At 40.1% G+C, this 17,307-nt stretch overlaps 1 protein-coding gene across 24 annotated transcripts in view, besides 1 other annotated feature; it reads right to left on the reverse strand.

The window, feature by feature from the left end:
- Positions 1-17,307, reverse strand: part of ASAP1 (ArfGAP with SH3 domain, ankyrin repeat and PH domain 1) — a 391,571-nt gene that overhangs the window by 218,876 nt on the left and 155,388 nt on the right. Inside the window, exon 1 of one of the 24 annotated variants that reach the window (XM_047421811.1) lies at positions 5,901-13,556. The exons of the other annotated variants lie outside the window; for them this stretch is intronic. The gene's annotated coding sequence lies outside the window, so the exon portion shown is untranslated. Of the gene's footprint in view, positions 1-5,900; positions 13,557-17,307 lie in introns of those variants that run through there. 24 annotated transcript variants of the gene reach the window in all.
- Positions 8,004-8,073: an enhancer, noted in NCBI's record as "active region_27984". NCBI's record gives its function as "activates an Ori minimal core promoter by ATAC-STARR-seq in GM12878 lymphoblastoid cells {active_cell/tissue: GM12878}" and the evidence as "EXISTENCE:reporter gene assay evidence [ECO:0000049][PMID:35858748]".

Genomic DNA, 17,307 nt, shown 5'->3' on the forward strand with positions numbered 1-17,307 from the left:
TTGGCCAAACAAATCACACTGGGGGCAATCTGAGGATCACACCGTCCTGAAACAAGAATGGCTGCTCCTGGTCCCCAAGGATGGCCCACTGATCAGGAGAGCCTGCTGCCGGGCTGCTCTGATTTGGTCTCACTTGCCCTGCAAGCAACAAATCCTTCTCATTCCCAAGTCTTTATTCTTCCAATCAGCAGAGGGGCTGCTCGCTCCTAAAACTGAACTCGACCAGAAGAGCTATACTAACAAGTGCCTTAGACCCAGAGGAAAGGATGATGCTTCAGCACGTGTCATGTTAAAGGGGCAGTTTATCCTATATGTACCTTCAACCTCACTCTACCCTTTTTAAAAAAATCAAGTACAAATTATTCTGATGTGCTATTAAGACACTGCACTGCTTGTAGGCCACACAGTTCCAAGGAATTTGTTTTTCTTTACCAAGAAATTATATATACCTTTTACATAGTTTTGATAAGAAGATTATTTACCACCCTCAAGGAAAAGGAGAGTAGGAAGTCAAAATCATTTCTTCCATTTCTACATGTACCGCTCAGATGCGTGGGCTATTCAGCTAACTTTGCAAATTAGCTTCCAACACCTACCAACCTGCATCTCCCTATTTCTTGGTCTTTTGTTTTTGCATCTTTTAGGAGTATGATACAAGCCCCAAGGTTTTTTAAATGAAACTAAATGTTAAACTATAAACGATGGGCTGATCACCCACTGAACTAAACTTGCTTTCATTACCAGGATTTCGTATCATTAGGAAATGGTTCCCAATGAAACTATACATTTTCACATAGTCATCCCTGCTTCAAAAATCACTAAATTTAGATTATCATTCTATTCTCTAGTATCCTGTTTATGAAGATTGTGTGCCACTCTGAGCTTTCCTCCCATTTTGTTATTTTTATAATGTATAAAATCTTTATGGAAATAAAAAAAGTCATGTTTTATAATGGAAGGGGAGGAAGCAAGACTTGCTGTCTCAAGTTGAATGATGAAGAAATAAAAAATAAAAATAAATTTAAAAAAAGACTTACTGTCACTAAAAGGCTGCGGTAAGCTCCAGTCCCAAATACTGGGGAGGCTGAGACAGGAGGATTGCTTGAGCTTGGGAGATCAGGCTGCAGTGAGGTGTGATCACACCACTGCACTACAGCCTAGGGGACAGAGCAAGACTCTGTCTCAAAAAACAAAAACAAAAAATGGGCAAAGGACATGAATAGACATAAAAATGACCAGCAGGTATATAAAAAAAAATTCAACATCACTAACCTTCAGGAAAATGCAATTTAAAACCATAATGACATATCATCTTATCCCAGTTAGAATGGCCATTAAAAACACCAAAACAAACAAACAAAACCCCTATGTTGGCGAGGACGTGGAAAAAAGGTAACTCTACACATCGTTGGTAGGAATCTAAATTAGTACAGTCGCTGTGAAAAAGAGTATGGAGATCTCTCAAAAAACTAAAATAGATTCATCATACAATCCAGCAATTCCACTATCCCACTACTGGGTATTTCTCCAAACGAAAGGAAATCAGTATATAAAAGGGATGCCTGCACCCCCATGTTTACTGCAGCACTATTCCCAATAGCAAAGATATGCAGTTAACCTATGTGTCCATCAACAGATAAATGGATAAAGAAGATGTAGTATATATACAAATGGAATACTATTTGACCATAACAAACAATAAAATCAAGTCATTTGCAATGACATGGATAGAACTGGATGTCACTATGTTAACTGAAATAAAGCAGGCATAGAAAGAACAATATCTTATGTTCTCACTCATATGTGGGAGCTAAAAATGTTGAGGTAGAAAGTGGAATGACAGATACTAGAGACTGGGAAGAGTATGTAGGTGGGAGAGAGAGAGAATAAAGAATGGCTGGTTAACGAGTACAAACATACAATTAGAGGGAATAAGCTCTACTGTTCAGTGGCAGAGTAGGGTGACTACAGTTAATGACAATATATCGTGTATTTCAAAATAGCTTGAAGAGAGGACTAGAAATCTTCCCAACACACAGAAATGACAAATACTCGAGGTGATGGATACCCTAAATACCCTGACCTCATAATTACACATCCTATGCATGTAAGAAAATTTCACATGTACCCCATAAACATGTATAAATACAGTGTATCAATAAGAACAGAGGGGCTAATCTAATGGAGAAAGATAAAATCCTATCACTCATTTACCAAACAAATCAACAGATTTTTTTAAAGGCTAGTTTTAGTGTTGTAATTATCATTTCTTATCTTAAATCTAATATGAAGAAAGCCCATATGCTAAATCTCTTTCCTTTCTGAGGAAGGAGAAAAGCATCAAAATCAATTGAAAACCTTGAAGTTCAGCGGTCCCTCCCAAGGCAGGGTCACGCCTGCTTCCACTCAAGGTCTGCAGAAGGGGAAAGTAAGGAAGCAAAGTAGCAGGAGGCATCAGCAAGGAACTGCGGGGGACATGTGGACTAGAAGAAAAATAAACCACATCCAATACACTGGCTGTGCATCAGAATTACTTGGGAAACTTGCTATAAACACAGCAGCCAGGCTTCTGAACCCAGGAGCTTGTATTAAGGAGGAGCTCACAGGATCTTGGTATCTGCTTCTCTGGGTATCTCTGGGCATCCTGATGGAGGTTGTCTACAAACCTCACTTCCAGAAAACCTGGCTTATAATGTCATTCCTAAAGATGACAGAGCTGGTGAGATAGGTCACACTTCGAGGAGAACAAAGTAGTAGTTTCAACTGGTCTGTGGTGCGACCCAGACATTAGCCCACATGTAACACTCCCCAGGTGATTCCAATGGGCAGCCAGGGTTAACACTGCCCTGTCTGGTAACATCCGCCACATAGATAAAACCTTGCCTGTTCTCATTTAAAAAGCTCATCACTTCCTACTCCCAAGACTTGTTCAAAATCCCATTAGTCCCAGCATCCTCCATAGGATGAAGGGGGGCGGAGGAGCTGGGGTCCACGAGAAAAGTAAAGAGACCTGAGTTCTAGCCTTGGCTCAGCTACTAACTGGCTTTGAGATCTTGATTCTCAGTTTCCCCATCTCCAAAAAGGTAATGTTTGCAATAAATTCCTTTAGAATGTAAAAGTCTATGACTCACAATACCTTATATAATCATTTTTCATTCTTCTCATACTAATGTATACCTCCCTGCCTGCATTGCTTTCCCTTGGGGAAGTACCAACTCAAAATGACAGCAAGCCTTGAAATTATTAGAGGATGACAAATGACTGATACTATGAAGATGGAAGAAGTGGCATGCATATCAATAAGGCATGAAAGATGGAGGTTCAACTGGGCCTTGCTGGCATTTTTCAGTAAGTCCAAGTTTTCACTTACCATTACGGGGAAGTTTTGTTTTGGAGGAGGTGCAGAAATGGGGAGGTTACTATGTTCTTTGGTAGAGAGGAGATAATAGCTGGTAAAGAACCAGGCTGAAGAATCAAACAGCTGTGGTTTATGGTCTGAACCCTTGCACCAGACCACTCGATCTACCTTAAATCCTAAATGGAAAACAGGTAAGGGGATACTTAACCCCGCCACACAATATCAACTTGACATAGCAACCTCTGCCTCTCTTCTCACTATCGCATTCATTGTTGAGGATGTATCTTTGAGAATTAATACTGGATGACATAATATTTCATTCAAGTCCGAGTGATCAACAGAAGTTCACTTCCTTGGAAGCACGGACTTCTTTTCCTTAGCAGAGTACCAGGCACAGAGCAGATGTATGCTGAAGTGAACTGAAGGAATCTGTGTTCTCTGGCATAGAATCTTGATCCACATAAAGCCTTCCTGAATACCACCAGTACAGGATTGGATTGGCTCTTAGCTACACCTACTGTAGTTCTTATTTCTGTATACCTGTGGGTGGAAATGGAGGATAAACCTCTCTTCGCTTTTCCTCATAGTCCACTACCCTTAACTTGGAACAGAAACCATTTAGTGAGACATAATAAGCATAGACTCTTGAGACTGTAGCTCCATATTCAACTCCTAGCTGTGTTATTTTGTAGCTGGATGACCTTGAGCTACTTCTCCAACTTTTTTAGAGTCTTCATCTGTGAAACAGGAATGAATAATCCTAACCATCTCTAGATCTTAGACAAGAATGAAATGAGAGCATATACAAAGCTCTGAGCACTCCGAAGGCACTCAACAAATGGTAGCTCCTTTTCTTCTTCCAAATGCTTTGAAACCCACAACTGGGAGAAGTCTTCAGATGAAGTTATATTCCTGGCCCTAACAGAAAGAAGTTACAAATGGGTGAACAAAGAAGCCTGTAATTGGGCTTTCCACAGGTCAAAGAGAGCTAAAGAAAGCCACTAATTCACTTATCAAAGATTCCTGGAAGGCAGTAATAATGGCTTTGGGCAGCAGCACTTACGTACTTTCAGATGGATGACCCAGGTCAATACCCCTCTCTCAATTACCAGTCCCCTGAGGCGTCCCAGCGCCTGCACACAAAAGCTCTCCTCCTGGCTAGCCTAGGAAGGAGAAAACACCTTCTAAACAGAGGTACACACAGGAGCTAAGAAGTGAAAAGGGTTTTAAAGGGGCCTTATCAACTTATAAAGCAATTCGTTCAAATTTTACTGGCAGGATGCAACTTCAGTTAAAAAAAAAAACTATGTATATAAAGATTCTTGCACAATTAGAGAAACGTAAGCATTTTGATGCTTTTAAAATTATGTTTAAATCTATTATATTTTCTAAATATTATCCAAATAAACATAAAAATGCTTTTAAAACAAATAAGGAGGCCATATCAGAGAAAAGATAGATTTATTTTGCTTTTTTGTTGTAACTCTCCAATGGAAAAGGCATGTAAAAAACTACATTCCTCACGGAGAACAACAGAACTGGAGGAGAACGTAAACCGTTACAACCAAGTAGAAGATAATACCAGTCACATTTTTTTGCAGAAGTAAAGGTACTGATAATGACCGGACTTCATCAGCGGCTCCAAGAACAGATTCTATGACAGAGTGATCAAGGAAAGAACCAAGTTTCAAAAAGGCAAGCCTCTTTAAGGGAAGAGTATGAGAAAGATTCAGCCCAGTTCCATGAATGGATGCTTTGCCCTGACAAAAGATGTCACAAAAAGAACCCTGCGGGCCTGACCTCTAGGTCTGGCATTGCTGCTAATAAATTATGATGTTCCTGGGCACAGCAAACTCCTAGAGCTTCGTTCCTCATTTGTTTAAAAAAGAAGGCTGGGGGGCACTGGGCCGCTCCAGCTGTAACAATCTCTTCCATTTCCTCTAAGTTCACAAAGTGATTCCATATACATTCTGCTACTGTGACAAAAGCTACATTAGTCTCCATTTTATAAAGGATAAATGATTTACCCCAGATCACACTGTAAACAAGTGCTAACAAGGACTGTAACTCTTAACTATGAATTCAAAATTTAGGCTTTTCTTCTACTGTAGCCAATCATGGACTACGAAGAACCAGCTTGCTAAGCCATGTGATGGTCTATGCTACTGACAGGTATCCTCAGACAAAAAAGCTGGCATTTGTGTCCTGTAGGCTGATCCCAGGGTCTTCTGTGACAGTACCTCAGCCACAGCTGAGACAATCTGGAGTAAATACTTAGCCCGAATTCTGACCAAATGGATTTGTGATTGGGATTTGCAGGCCAAACGTGAACTGAGAGCCAAGACTGCAAACACACACACACACACACACACACACACACACACACACACACTCTCTCTCTCTCTCTCTCTCTCTCTCTCTCTCCTCTAACAAAAAAGCTCCATGGCAGCATGAGAGACCCTAAACTATGAGAAGGTGGAAAGTGTGAGTCAACAGAAATTAAGGAACAGAAATAAAGGGACAAGGAGAGCAGTGCACTCACAGTGCCAGGAGCGGTCTTGGCAGACACAGAAAACTAAGTGAACTCAATGGCAGACGATGGAAGGACTCTGCCTGCTGCTGAGGGAGGTCAGTCCCTGGGGTCCCTTGTCCATGTGCAGCCTAGCTGACTCACAATAGGTACGGCTTTGACAGCGTAACCCCACCCTCACCCGTCCACATCAGAATCACATGTGTGTGCTTTTCAATGCAGGCACCGAGGGCCCCCCATCCCAGACTCTCCAGATCAGAATCTCCTAGTTGATTACGATGCATGCTCTAGCTGAGGACCACAGGCCACGGTAACCTGAGTGAGACTGGAGAGAAAGCAGCTGCCAAACAGCGTCAGCGAGAAAGGGGAACCAGTCTGCCCCATCCAGTCTGGCCATTCACCTAAAAGATGGTTTCCTGTAGCAGCCACTTGGTAACGAGGACAACGGCTATAGGCAACAGGAGAAAAACACCAATAACTATAAGCCATACTAGTTCTTCATATCCAGTGAATTTAAGACAACAAAAGATGAAGCAGATGAAGTTGAGAGGAAAGAACCAGAAAGTTCAGTAGAAAAAATACAAATTCAAAATATGAATTCCATTTTTACCACATGAAAAATGTTTAGACAATCCCATCTTTAAAAATGTAAGCAAAAACAAACATTGAAAACTCCTAAAGACAAGCACAAAGTGACACAGAGTTCTCATGACAGAAACAAAAAATAAGTGTCATAATAGTCTAAATCTAACAGGGCACCAAGAAGTCTAAAGAGTGGGAATAAAGGAAGTACAGATATAGAAATGGCTTTCAAATGCCTTAGGAAACACCACCAGCAAGCAGCCATTAGCTCCAATTGGGAAATGATTTCTGTAAGATTTCTCAAAAGAGTTTACAAATTTGTCCCCAGATTACATAAATGTCTTTGCCACTCATATTGTGTCTGTTGACGAAGGGCTGTAGGCGTTTGTGGGCCCATCACATGGACGTAGCAGGACAGTTTTCAGACTGCCAGTGGAGTTCACAGAGATGTAGAGAGTGGCAGGGAGCCTCTCGGGAGGACCTCATCTGGGTAGAGCTCAAGGGAGCAAATAAATTCTTAGCCATGAAAGGAAGAAATCCAAAGTAGTATGGTTCTCAGCGAGGCTGAAGATTTATTTCCCTGTGCCATGACAAGAGACCTAATAAGTGTGTTGAAAACCAGAAAAAAAAAAAAAAATCAAAGGGCCTTATAAAAGTTATGTAAATTAGTACCAATATCCCTCAAACCATGAGTTCTTTAACTCTCTATGATGTTAGACAGCATAAAGGGAATGAGCAATGTAAACACTTACTGCTGTGTTACACACGCTTTTCATTGTAGTAACATGAGCATTTCAAGGTATTGAGTCCAGATCTTTAGGATGGACACGACCAACCACAGAAAGCTGTAGTCACATCCCATAATCTAGACATATTTTATTAAATTAAAAGGGTGTGGCAGGTTAAGTCCACCACTCCTGTGCTAAATGAAAAAAAAAAGAAAAAGAAAATATGACCCTACCTAAAAATGAACTGCACTTTTTGTTGACATCAACAGCGTCAGGGTGGAAACAAAGAAATTACCCAGAGACTCACTGGCTTCTGTTTCATTAGAAACACATGAAGACAATATATGCCAATAAGAAAACATTCTTTGCAAAAGTCTTCCATGCAAATAAGCCTTTCTCTTTTTTTCCTTGATGCATCATCAAGTTTTGCAGCTAAGAGTGCAAATATTGGACTGGGACATACGATAAAACAGTCGAGAGACATTGGACGAAAAAAACTCTAATTAATTCCTGGGATATTTTATCCATATGCATTAAATATCCTTTCTAAATATAAATACGCATGGGTGAAACAGAAGAGAGGGGGAGCTGTTGTTTCTGGGCCACCCAACATCTACTCACCGTACCCAGTAACCACTCTGGGGGCAGAACCAGAATTCAAATCCATGGCTTTTACCTCTTACTTTTAAGTCTTTTCATAAAGGCCCTCACAATTAGAGAGTGTTAGGCATGTTTACAAAGCCCTTCCTCATCCATTAGTTCATTCAAAACAATCCTTACAGACAAGCAAGGCAGGAACCCTCAAACCCATTTCACAGATGAGGAAGCTGAAGTAGAAAGTGTTATTGAAAGTGATACCCTAATAAGGTATCGAAAGCCATGTCTACCACGGGACAGAACAAATCCTGGTCCCTCTGCTTGGCAGGTAAAAGCAAAATCTCCAAAATCAAGCCCTTGATTCACAATGAGACAGAGAGGGGAAAAAAAATGAACAGAAGTACACGAATCCTACACCTTCCTCTGAACTTTGTGGTTGCTATAGCCTAAAAGTACACGGGGGAGGCACAGGAAATTACTCTTTCCTCATGTAAGGTCTGAATCATACACCCAGCACTAGGGGTTCTGAAGTCACCCACACCTTCTGCTGAAATCTGCTTCTCTGCCAGATCCATGGCTGTCCCACATGGAGTCTTGAATATGGCAACGAGGGAATGTGAGGACTGGCTCACAAACCGCAGTGGATGTTAATGGCAGATGTTAGAAATCCACTTCTGCAGAGATAGTTAAGCATATTTTTAAATGGAGTGGGGGGAATGCAAATCATAAAAGCAGCATAGTGCAGTGAAAATAAATTTGCTTTTGAAACAAGCGCAGGGTTCAAATTCCAGCTTGGGTGCTTATCAGCTGTGTGATCTCAAACAAGAAACTAACCTCTTTCAGCTTTAGTTCCTTCATCTATAAAACAAATAGACTTGACTAGATAATTTCTAGATCTTTCTCTATTGTAAAAATATTGTATAATTTCTATACTACAGATGAGAAAGAGTTAGCAATGTAGTAGTTGACAGAGAAGGAGAAAAAAGAGAAGTGAAGGCAGGGAGGAAAGAACATAGAGCGTTAAGCAGGAAACCGGTCCACTAAAATAGTTAGGGGCGTCCATAACTAAAGCGACCCTGAGCTATTTACAACCTTTTGCCTCTCTTGAACCAATAATCAATATAAAACCTACAACTAAAAAGAGGAGATGGGAACTAACTTTTATAAACATCAACTATGTGCCAGGTTAGAAACCTGAGTCTGTGTCTCATTCAGCAACTTTGTACTGTTTAAGAATACCTCAAACTGGCACTTACATGTTCCTTATTTTATTTGGTCATCAAAAAGAGATAGGCAGAGGTAGTGTTCTTGACTATTTTGCTGACAAGGAAACCATGGTTCAGAGGGATCAAGGGGCCTTTAAAACACATCACAAGGCCAGTAAGTAGCCCAGCTGGAACTGAACAAAGATGATTTTACCAGACCAGTGCTTGCTCATATTCCTCGCTGTCCCTTTTCTACCTTTACTTCTCATATGGAGTATGGATTTCAGGAGAATCTAGCAGGATAAAATGGTAGCTGACCTCTGGCCTAGAATACAAGTTTTTAAAAGTGGTGTGTGATATATTCAATTGTGATTATATGTCCCAAGAAACTGGGCATTTTGTGGATAAAGTCTACTTGTGATAATGGTTATGGAATCTTTTGACAACTAGTCCTCACAAATCAGCACAACTCCTGGGAGGCATCCTTGACACACAGTCTGCCACAGTAGAGAGCAGTCAACCATGTCAGCATTTTCAGAATCCAGACTAGAACTTTCTTAGAGCATGATTCATATAATTTAATAATCCTACTGGACTCTTCCAGCTTTGAGCTGTAGCATTATCCAAATCAACAAAAGGCAATAGAAAAGAGGGAGAGCAATACATGCTCATCAGCGATTCTATTAGAGAGTGAAAATTTGTAATAAAATAGTCAGAATTATCCAGTTACTTAAAATTCAGAACAATCAGTTATTGGGGCTGGGAAGAGTGCCAAAAGTGAATTTAATTTTCTATGTTAGAATTTAACACTTCAGTTTTTATTGAAATTTAAAAATAAACAAGGAAATGATAATTTTATTGGTTCATTCTTCTGCTTGGTCATTAATAGCACCATTTCATTTAACCATAACCAAGAATCCATGTCAGTGATTTGTCTAACAGTCACTGATCTGTCTAAAAATGGGTGAGTAAATATGTTTACAGATTCACTTTTTCCAAATAACATGTAACAACCAACATGCTGTTTTTCCAAATAACAAATAGGTTTAGAGTACATATGTATATGTACTCAAAAAACATTATACTTGGTGGCTGTGTTGTGTGGTAGAAGATAGCAGAGGTTTGGGGGCAGATAACCTGGGGCTGTATGACACTGAACAAGGTTATTTCATCTAGATAAACTCAATTACCTTATCTGTAAAACTGGAAATGATATGTACCCCCTCACAAAGGATGCTGGGAGAAATAAATAAACCTACAACTCAATAAAATTAGTATTAGAGATCCGTGGATCAACATAAACAATGTTTCCCTATCACTTATAGCTTTCTCCATTGCTTTTAAGTTTTTACAAATCTCTCTATGGTCAATGACATCATTTCTTGATTTTGTCCATAAAGACTGACATATGCTTATTAACTAATTTGAAAACTTACTACTGGGAGAGAGGGAATACCCTCCTTGGTCCTTGATTTTTTTAATCATGACAGGGCTTTCTACCTTCTAAGAACAGGGGTTTATATCTCCAAGTCTAGGTACTGTAAATCTACAACTAAGTACTGGTCCAGATTTTCAGGCTAAAAAACTTATCCAAAGTGTAAAAAATAGTTTTTTTGGGGGGGTTAAAAAAACAAACAACTTAATTTATTCTGTTTTGCAACATATCTATATGGTGATATGTGGGGAACCCAGGAATCAACATACACAATCATGGCATGTGAACTCATTTTCCTCTAAGAAACTCTGCATCTTATATTACATTGGTGCAAAAGTAATTGTGGCTTTTGCCATTTAAAAGTAATGGAGGCTGGGCGCGGTGGCTCACGCCTGTAATCCCAGCACTTCGAGAAAACAAGGCAGGCAGATCACGAGGTCAGGAGTTCGAGACCCACCTGGCCAACATAGTGAAACCCCATCTCTACTAAAAATACAAAAAGTTAGCGGGGCAAGGTGGCGGGTGCCTGTAATCCCAGCTACTCGGGAGACTTGAGGCAGGAGAATAACTTGAACCCGGGAGGTGGAGGTTGCAGTGAGCCAAGATCATGACCGATTACACTCCAGTCCAGGCGACAGTGCAAGACTCTGCCTCGAAAAAAAAAAAAAAAGGAATGGCATGGCAAAAATCGCAATTACTCTTGCACCAACCAAATATATATGTTCTACATTTTGCAGTATCTTTTAATTAGAATCCAATTTGATTTAATCACACTGTCAAAGCAGAAGTGTCTAAAATCCTGCAAGTATACCATGTTTTAGGGATCTAATAATCTATATCTGGGAAACCACTATTTCCCTACTTATTTTGCCAAATAGGAAAAAATAAAGAAACATAAAATATATTGTGACTCCACACTTGCAGATGTTTTAGTCAAAACTACAAATCGCTTTTGCATTTGTATATTAATTCCTCCTTTTAGAAATGGCTTAATTATTAGTCTATTGGTAAAAACAAATCAAAATATTTTTGAAATTTCATCTGAAACTGCTTAAGGTTCACCAATTGCAATACGACTGTTACCATCTGCACTCCACGTGGATACTCATTATTAATCATGATGTGTGAATGTAACTGCAAGCACTTAATAAGATCCCCTTTTGGCAAACTGAAAGGCCTTTCAGCTCTGGCATGTGTACATCAACCATGGCATTCAAGCCACAATATCAAAACCAATCACTGATTTGGCAATTACCCAACAAAGTATCCACATTATTGGGGAAAATATATTTTTAGAAAGCTGTTATCCCTACTCTCATAAAAATTACACAAATAATTTGAAATAGAGTGTGGTGGGGGTAGACAACTAAATGAACAAGAACCCAAAGGATCATAAACTGAAATAGTTACTGGGGTCAGGAAGATAATATTAATGAGAGAAGCAAGGTTGGCCTATTATAACAAGGAGTGGGTTTCGCTGCGGCAAAGTTACAACAACCTTCATCATTTAAGTAAAACAGCCACTAATTGAATAGCTTTAGCTGGCTTTTGCCAATTGGGAAAGGGGATGCACTATTATTAAATGGTCTATGTTCTTCAAACAAGCCAGAAATCCAATATTTATGTGAAATTTCCTGAAATACAAATAACAGCAACTAGGCAAATTTGGTGGAGCAAACAAAACCTTCATGGGATGGATTTGGCAAGTGGGCCACTACGTTGTGAGCTCTGCAGTAACTACTGTTGGAGAGAGGAAAAATATATCCACACCAGCTGGAAAAGTAAGGCCCTCTTTGTAGAGAGCATGGCATCTGGACTTAGCCTTAAAAGAAGGCAGGATGCCAGGAAACAAACAAACAAACAAACAAACAAAAACCAAAAAAACACTGGGTACAGTGGTTCACGCCTGTAATCCCAGCACTTTGGGAGGCTGAGGCGGGTGGATCACGAGGTCAAGAGATCGAGACCATCCTGGCAACATGGTGAAACCTCGTCTCTACTAAAAATACAAAAAGTAGCTGCGCATGGTGGCATGCGCGCCTGTAGTCCCAGCTACTCAGGAGGCTGAGGCAGGAGAATCACTTGAACCCAGGAGGCAGAGGCTGCAGTGAGAGGAGATCACGTCACTGCACCACTCCAGCCTGGTGACAGAACAAGACTCCATCACAGAAAGAAAAAAAAAAAAAAAAAAAAAAAAAAAGAAGGCAGGATGCAGACAGCTAAAGAAGGCCAAACAAAGGCAGGGATGTGTGGGGAACAGTGTTTCAGAATGGAAAGAGACTAACTTGATAAGAACAGAAAGTTGTAGTTGAGACTGGATACATGAGGAAGGGTCAGATAATAGGATGCCTTAAAACCAGGTCTAGAAAATCAGATTTGGTTGATGGGCAAAGTAGAATCACTGTCAGTAGATGTCTAAATTGAAAAGCCATGATAATGTCCAATGAAGGGTAAGGGCCTAAAAAAATGGTGCCATTTCAGGACATGCAATCAGAAACTCATCAGATGTAGGAAATCCCCAGAATCTGTGAGGAACTAATCTAGATGGCCTAAGAGTGGGTATTGCACTGACTGTATCCACAAAAACCTTGTGGAGGACTGGGTATGTGATGAGGACAGCTTTTTGTTAGACTCATCATCATCACATCCGCCTTAAATTTCCAGTTCACTGGCACGGAGGACAGAGGTTCTAATGGACAAAACCCATCCCTGAGAAGAGATTAAAATGGCCAACCGAATGTGTAGGGCGTCTTGAAAATTTGGGGGCCCTAAAGAACAAATCCCTTTTAAAAACAAAATTCTATCCATAAAACCTGGAAATTTAGTAATAATGATCCAAGATCTCAAAACATTGGAGCAATAAAAGTAGGAAAATGAAAACTGGACAAACAACCATTCTAGACAGTAGTCAAAACGATAAATTGTATATATAAATGGATTCAAGTGACTATAGTGTAATTTAGCCACAAAGTATGAGGTTCAAATGAACCCCCATAAAGGCAAAAACGGGAGTCAAATTGTAGTAACTCAACTTTTCTCTAAAGGTGAGGGAAAACCCATGAAAATTTTTAAGCAGGGGAAAGTGAGCTATGAGGGCTGGGCTGAAAATAAACTAAAAGGGATGCGCCCAGTACAGCCAGGATTTATGAAGATAAGCGTCACCACTCAACAAGACCAATGGCTTCCTTTGGTTTGGGAACCAGTGACAATGAACCACAGAGACCACATGCAGACTGTGATGTAGGATGCAGCCACTGGGAGGGAGGGGTAATTTAGCAATGCAGCTGTTAAGTTTATCTCTGTAATCACTGACAAAGCATGACAGCTTTGCACAGAAGAAAAAAACATCTTTCCTAATATTCCCTCCCCCCATAAGAATACTGGATCTCCTCATGGGGTAGTAAAACCAATCATTCCTTTTACACTCTACACACACACACACACACACACACACACACACACACACCATACTGAGAGAGAGAGAGAAAGAGAGAGAGAGACAGAGAGACATACACTCATGAGTGGGTGGCTGCCCACAAAGATTGGTCCTAATGCCTGTGAAACAGGAACTGGAAAACCTCTCCCATCCACACCCTATTTAAGACCTAAGAAAGTAAAGGCCAGTCTCTAATAAAGATGGTCCTAGTGGTTCCTTATAATTTGAGTCTTCCTTGACAGCAACACTTTGGAGTGAATTAGTTCAGAGAACACCAGACCTAAGAGAAAAGGAAGACTTGGCAACCCACATTCATTTTCCTACAGCAAGCATGAAAAAAAAGTATTAGTAAAATAAATATTAAGATATACCAGTAATGACTTTAAATAGTTGACCTTCCTTGCAGAACTTTCAGAAACATACACAAATAAAAATGGAATACTCAAGGAGTTGTAAACCACCAAGTTGGAAAGAAAAAAAAACAAAAAACAAAACTGACTTGGTGCCAGCCTACAGGTACTAGTGAACACAGAATTTCATGAATGAAGAGAATTTTATGTATGTCGGCCAAAACAAAATGATCTTATCACTAGAAAAAATTTTATGGTCTAAATAAAACCAAGGAAAAACATAATTATGATCATATTTATCTATTCAGGAGGTATCTTTTTAAAAAATTTGTTTTAATTACTGAAATGAAGAGAGTCGTCATATATGTAGCTTCAAAAATATTCAGCCAATTGTAACTCTGACATCTTTGGAAAGTTAAACACAACAGGTTGGTTTTGTTTTTCTGAAAGCTCTGGGAAAGCATCCATGATTAGTGTCAACCTGGCATTCAAATTTAGCTGGAATAAGGCTGTTACCAGTTTTTGTCTTCTATAGGCAATAGCCAGACTTTCTGTAAAAAATATGAAATATTTGTTTATGCATATCACCGTGGAAAGTTTTCCGCCTCTGGTTTCTGATGTAACTTTATCACGTTCTGTTCCTGCTGAGCGAGTACCAACAATGTTCCAATACTGATTAAAAATAAATAAAAGCAAAATAATGAGCCAAGGCTTTACTGGAACAGATATCATAAATAATTTGCTACCTGTCTTAACTTAGAAAATCACTGCCTGCTAACAAGTTTCTGATATATCTATTATTTTTAGCCACTTACTGAAAACCTACTATGTGCCAGGTATGGTACTAGAAAATAACAGGTGTTATCTCCCTCAATCCTCACAACAAATTTGCCAGGCAGAATTATTTGCTATTTTCTAAATGAAGAAAAGAAGGCTCAGGGCACAGTAATCTGCTCAAGTTCTCACAGTATCAAATGGCAGAGTAGGTTTTAGACACCAGGACCACCTGAAGTACATTGCACTGTTTCTTATAAAACACTAGAAATAGGCTTTGGCGAAAACTGGGCCATAACAAAAACCTGCTGCAAAATGAACTTACAAAGTTATTCTCAATTAACTAAAAACAAAGCTAGCATTTATTTCACTGATGTTTATCTCACTGCGTATATGACATTCTACTTCCATTCACAGTTTAAGTCCATCACTTACTTTGATATAAAATAAAAACACTTCACAAAATCGGGAGTCACAGCAGCTAGAGAACTCCTTCATGTACTGATGGAGTTGTAGTTACAGAGGGTGTCTGAAGGCCAGAATTCCTGAGTTTCTAATCCTGCTTGAGCAACTTACTTAATACTTGTATGCTCTGGTTCCTTCCTCTATACAGTGAGCTTTGCGGTGAGGGTTTAATGAGTTAAACCATGTAAAGCACTAAGAACAGTGCCTGGTGCACAGGAAGTACCCAATAAGGGTTACCCATCATCATCTTCATGCTCATCACACCAGGACTGGGGAAAATGATCAAGATTCACAGCATCCGACATGTTTACTGAGCTTTAAAAAGTGTGCAACTGCCCAAACGAATGCACAAATGAGCAAACAACTTTAACACCTTTGTGCTTATCATTATGAAATGATGAGAAGCAAAAGTTCACACCCACAGGGAACATTTATCTAGACATCAGTTTATAAACAAGGTAAGATATGCTAATGGTATAAGGAAACACCTCATAGCAGGGAGCGATTCAGATGAAGAAGGCCCGTAGGGGGTCAAAAAGGCGAATGAGCACAATTTGAGGGAAGACTTCTTGGTGGCCAAGGAGGGAGACCTTGAAGAGTACTGCTCAGAGAGGAGCAGTTAGAGCATTTTTAGTAATGGGGCCAGAAGGAACACAGGGAAATTGACTGTTAAGCAGAATTATCTGACTCTAATTGAACAAAGCTGACTACATATCACCAAGAGTTCAAGGACTGAACTTTACACATTTTTGTATATTGCCTGTCCAAAGCACAGTGCCTGGAACTAGCAAATAATAGTTAGATGGATGAAAGTATAGAAGGATGACAGGACAGCTTGATGGATGGATGTTGGGGGATAATAAAAGATAAGATAGGGTAGGTAAGGTTACTTCAGATTAGGAAGAGCTTGAACAAAGGGACAATGCAGTATAGATGATGGCACCATGCACTTACTCATCAGTCACACCCTCCTTTATGAATATTGTCTTTGTTCTACCCATCCATCCACCCATTCACCCACTGACCCCCTCATCCATCCATTTTTGAGAAGTAAACTGATTTTTGGGGGGAGGCCTAGTTAGGCTAAATTTCTCAGACCATGGGAAACACAGTTCAATGCGATGATGGGGACATAAAGCCTAACCCACAAAGCCTAACAGCCAAGGAAGGCGAGTTCTGTGGGCAAATGCCTCAAACCCTCTGCATTTGAATTTCTCCTCTGCAAAATGCGTAAGCCCTATCTCACAAGTTTGGGTGCAAACTATCAGACACAGATTATGTCAAAGGCCATAATTACATATTTAATAGAACATTATTATAGCAACTATTTGTGCCCTTTAACATAGGGAACGCTCAGAGGGCTGTGTTTGGGTTTTGTCACCTCTATACCCCTAGCCCTTCCCACTCAGTCTAGCATATAGCAGAGACCCTGGGAAGGTTTGGTAAACTGACTTAACATTTCAAACACATACCCTCTTGCCCTGTTAGGTCCCTACCCCAGCCTATCTCTTCCCCAGGCTTGTCCTTTCTAGTCACCTCCACGCACAGTCAACCAAGCACCCATGCAGGGTGAGGCCATCCCAAAGCGCTTTCAAACTGTGCTCTAGTCCGACTCCTGCATCCATGCTGCGTGGAACTCTTCTCCCCTGGCAGGAGCTCCAGCTACACGCATCAAGCAATCAGTGCTAGGTGCTCCTGCTAATTAATGCAAATATGGGAAGCTTATCTCCTCAGCCATGCTGGAAGCTGCTTGAGGCTTTTCATCTGTGGCTTTTTTCTGATAAAGCTGAGGCTTTTAATCTATTTCTAACCTTTCTGGTTCCAGTATTTGACTTCGAGGGCACCAT

The sequence above is a fragment of the Homo sapiens genome, chromosome 8 (genome assembly GCF_000001405.40).
Source record: "Homo sapiens chromosome 8, GRCh38.p14 Primary Assembly".
Lineage (NCBI taxonomy): Eukaryota > Metazoa > Chordata > Mammalia > Primates > Hominidae > Homo > Homo sapiens.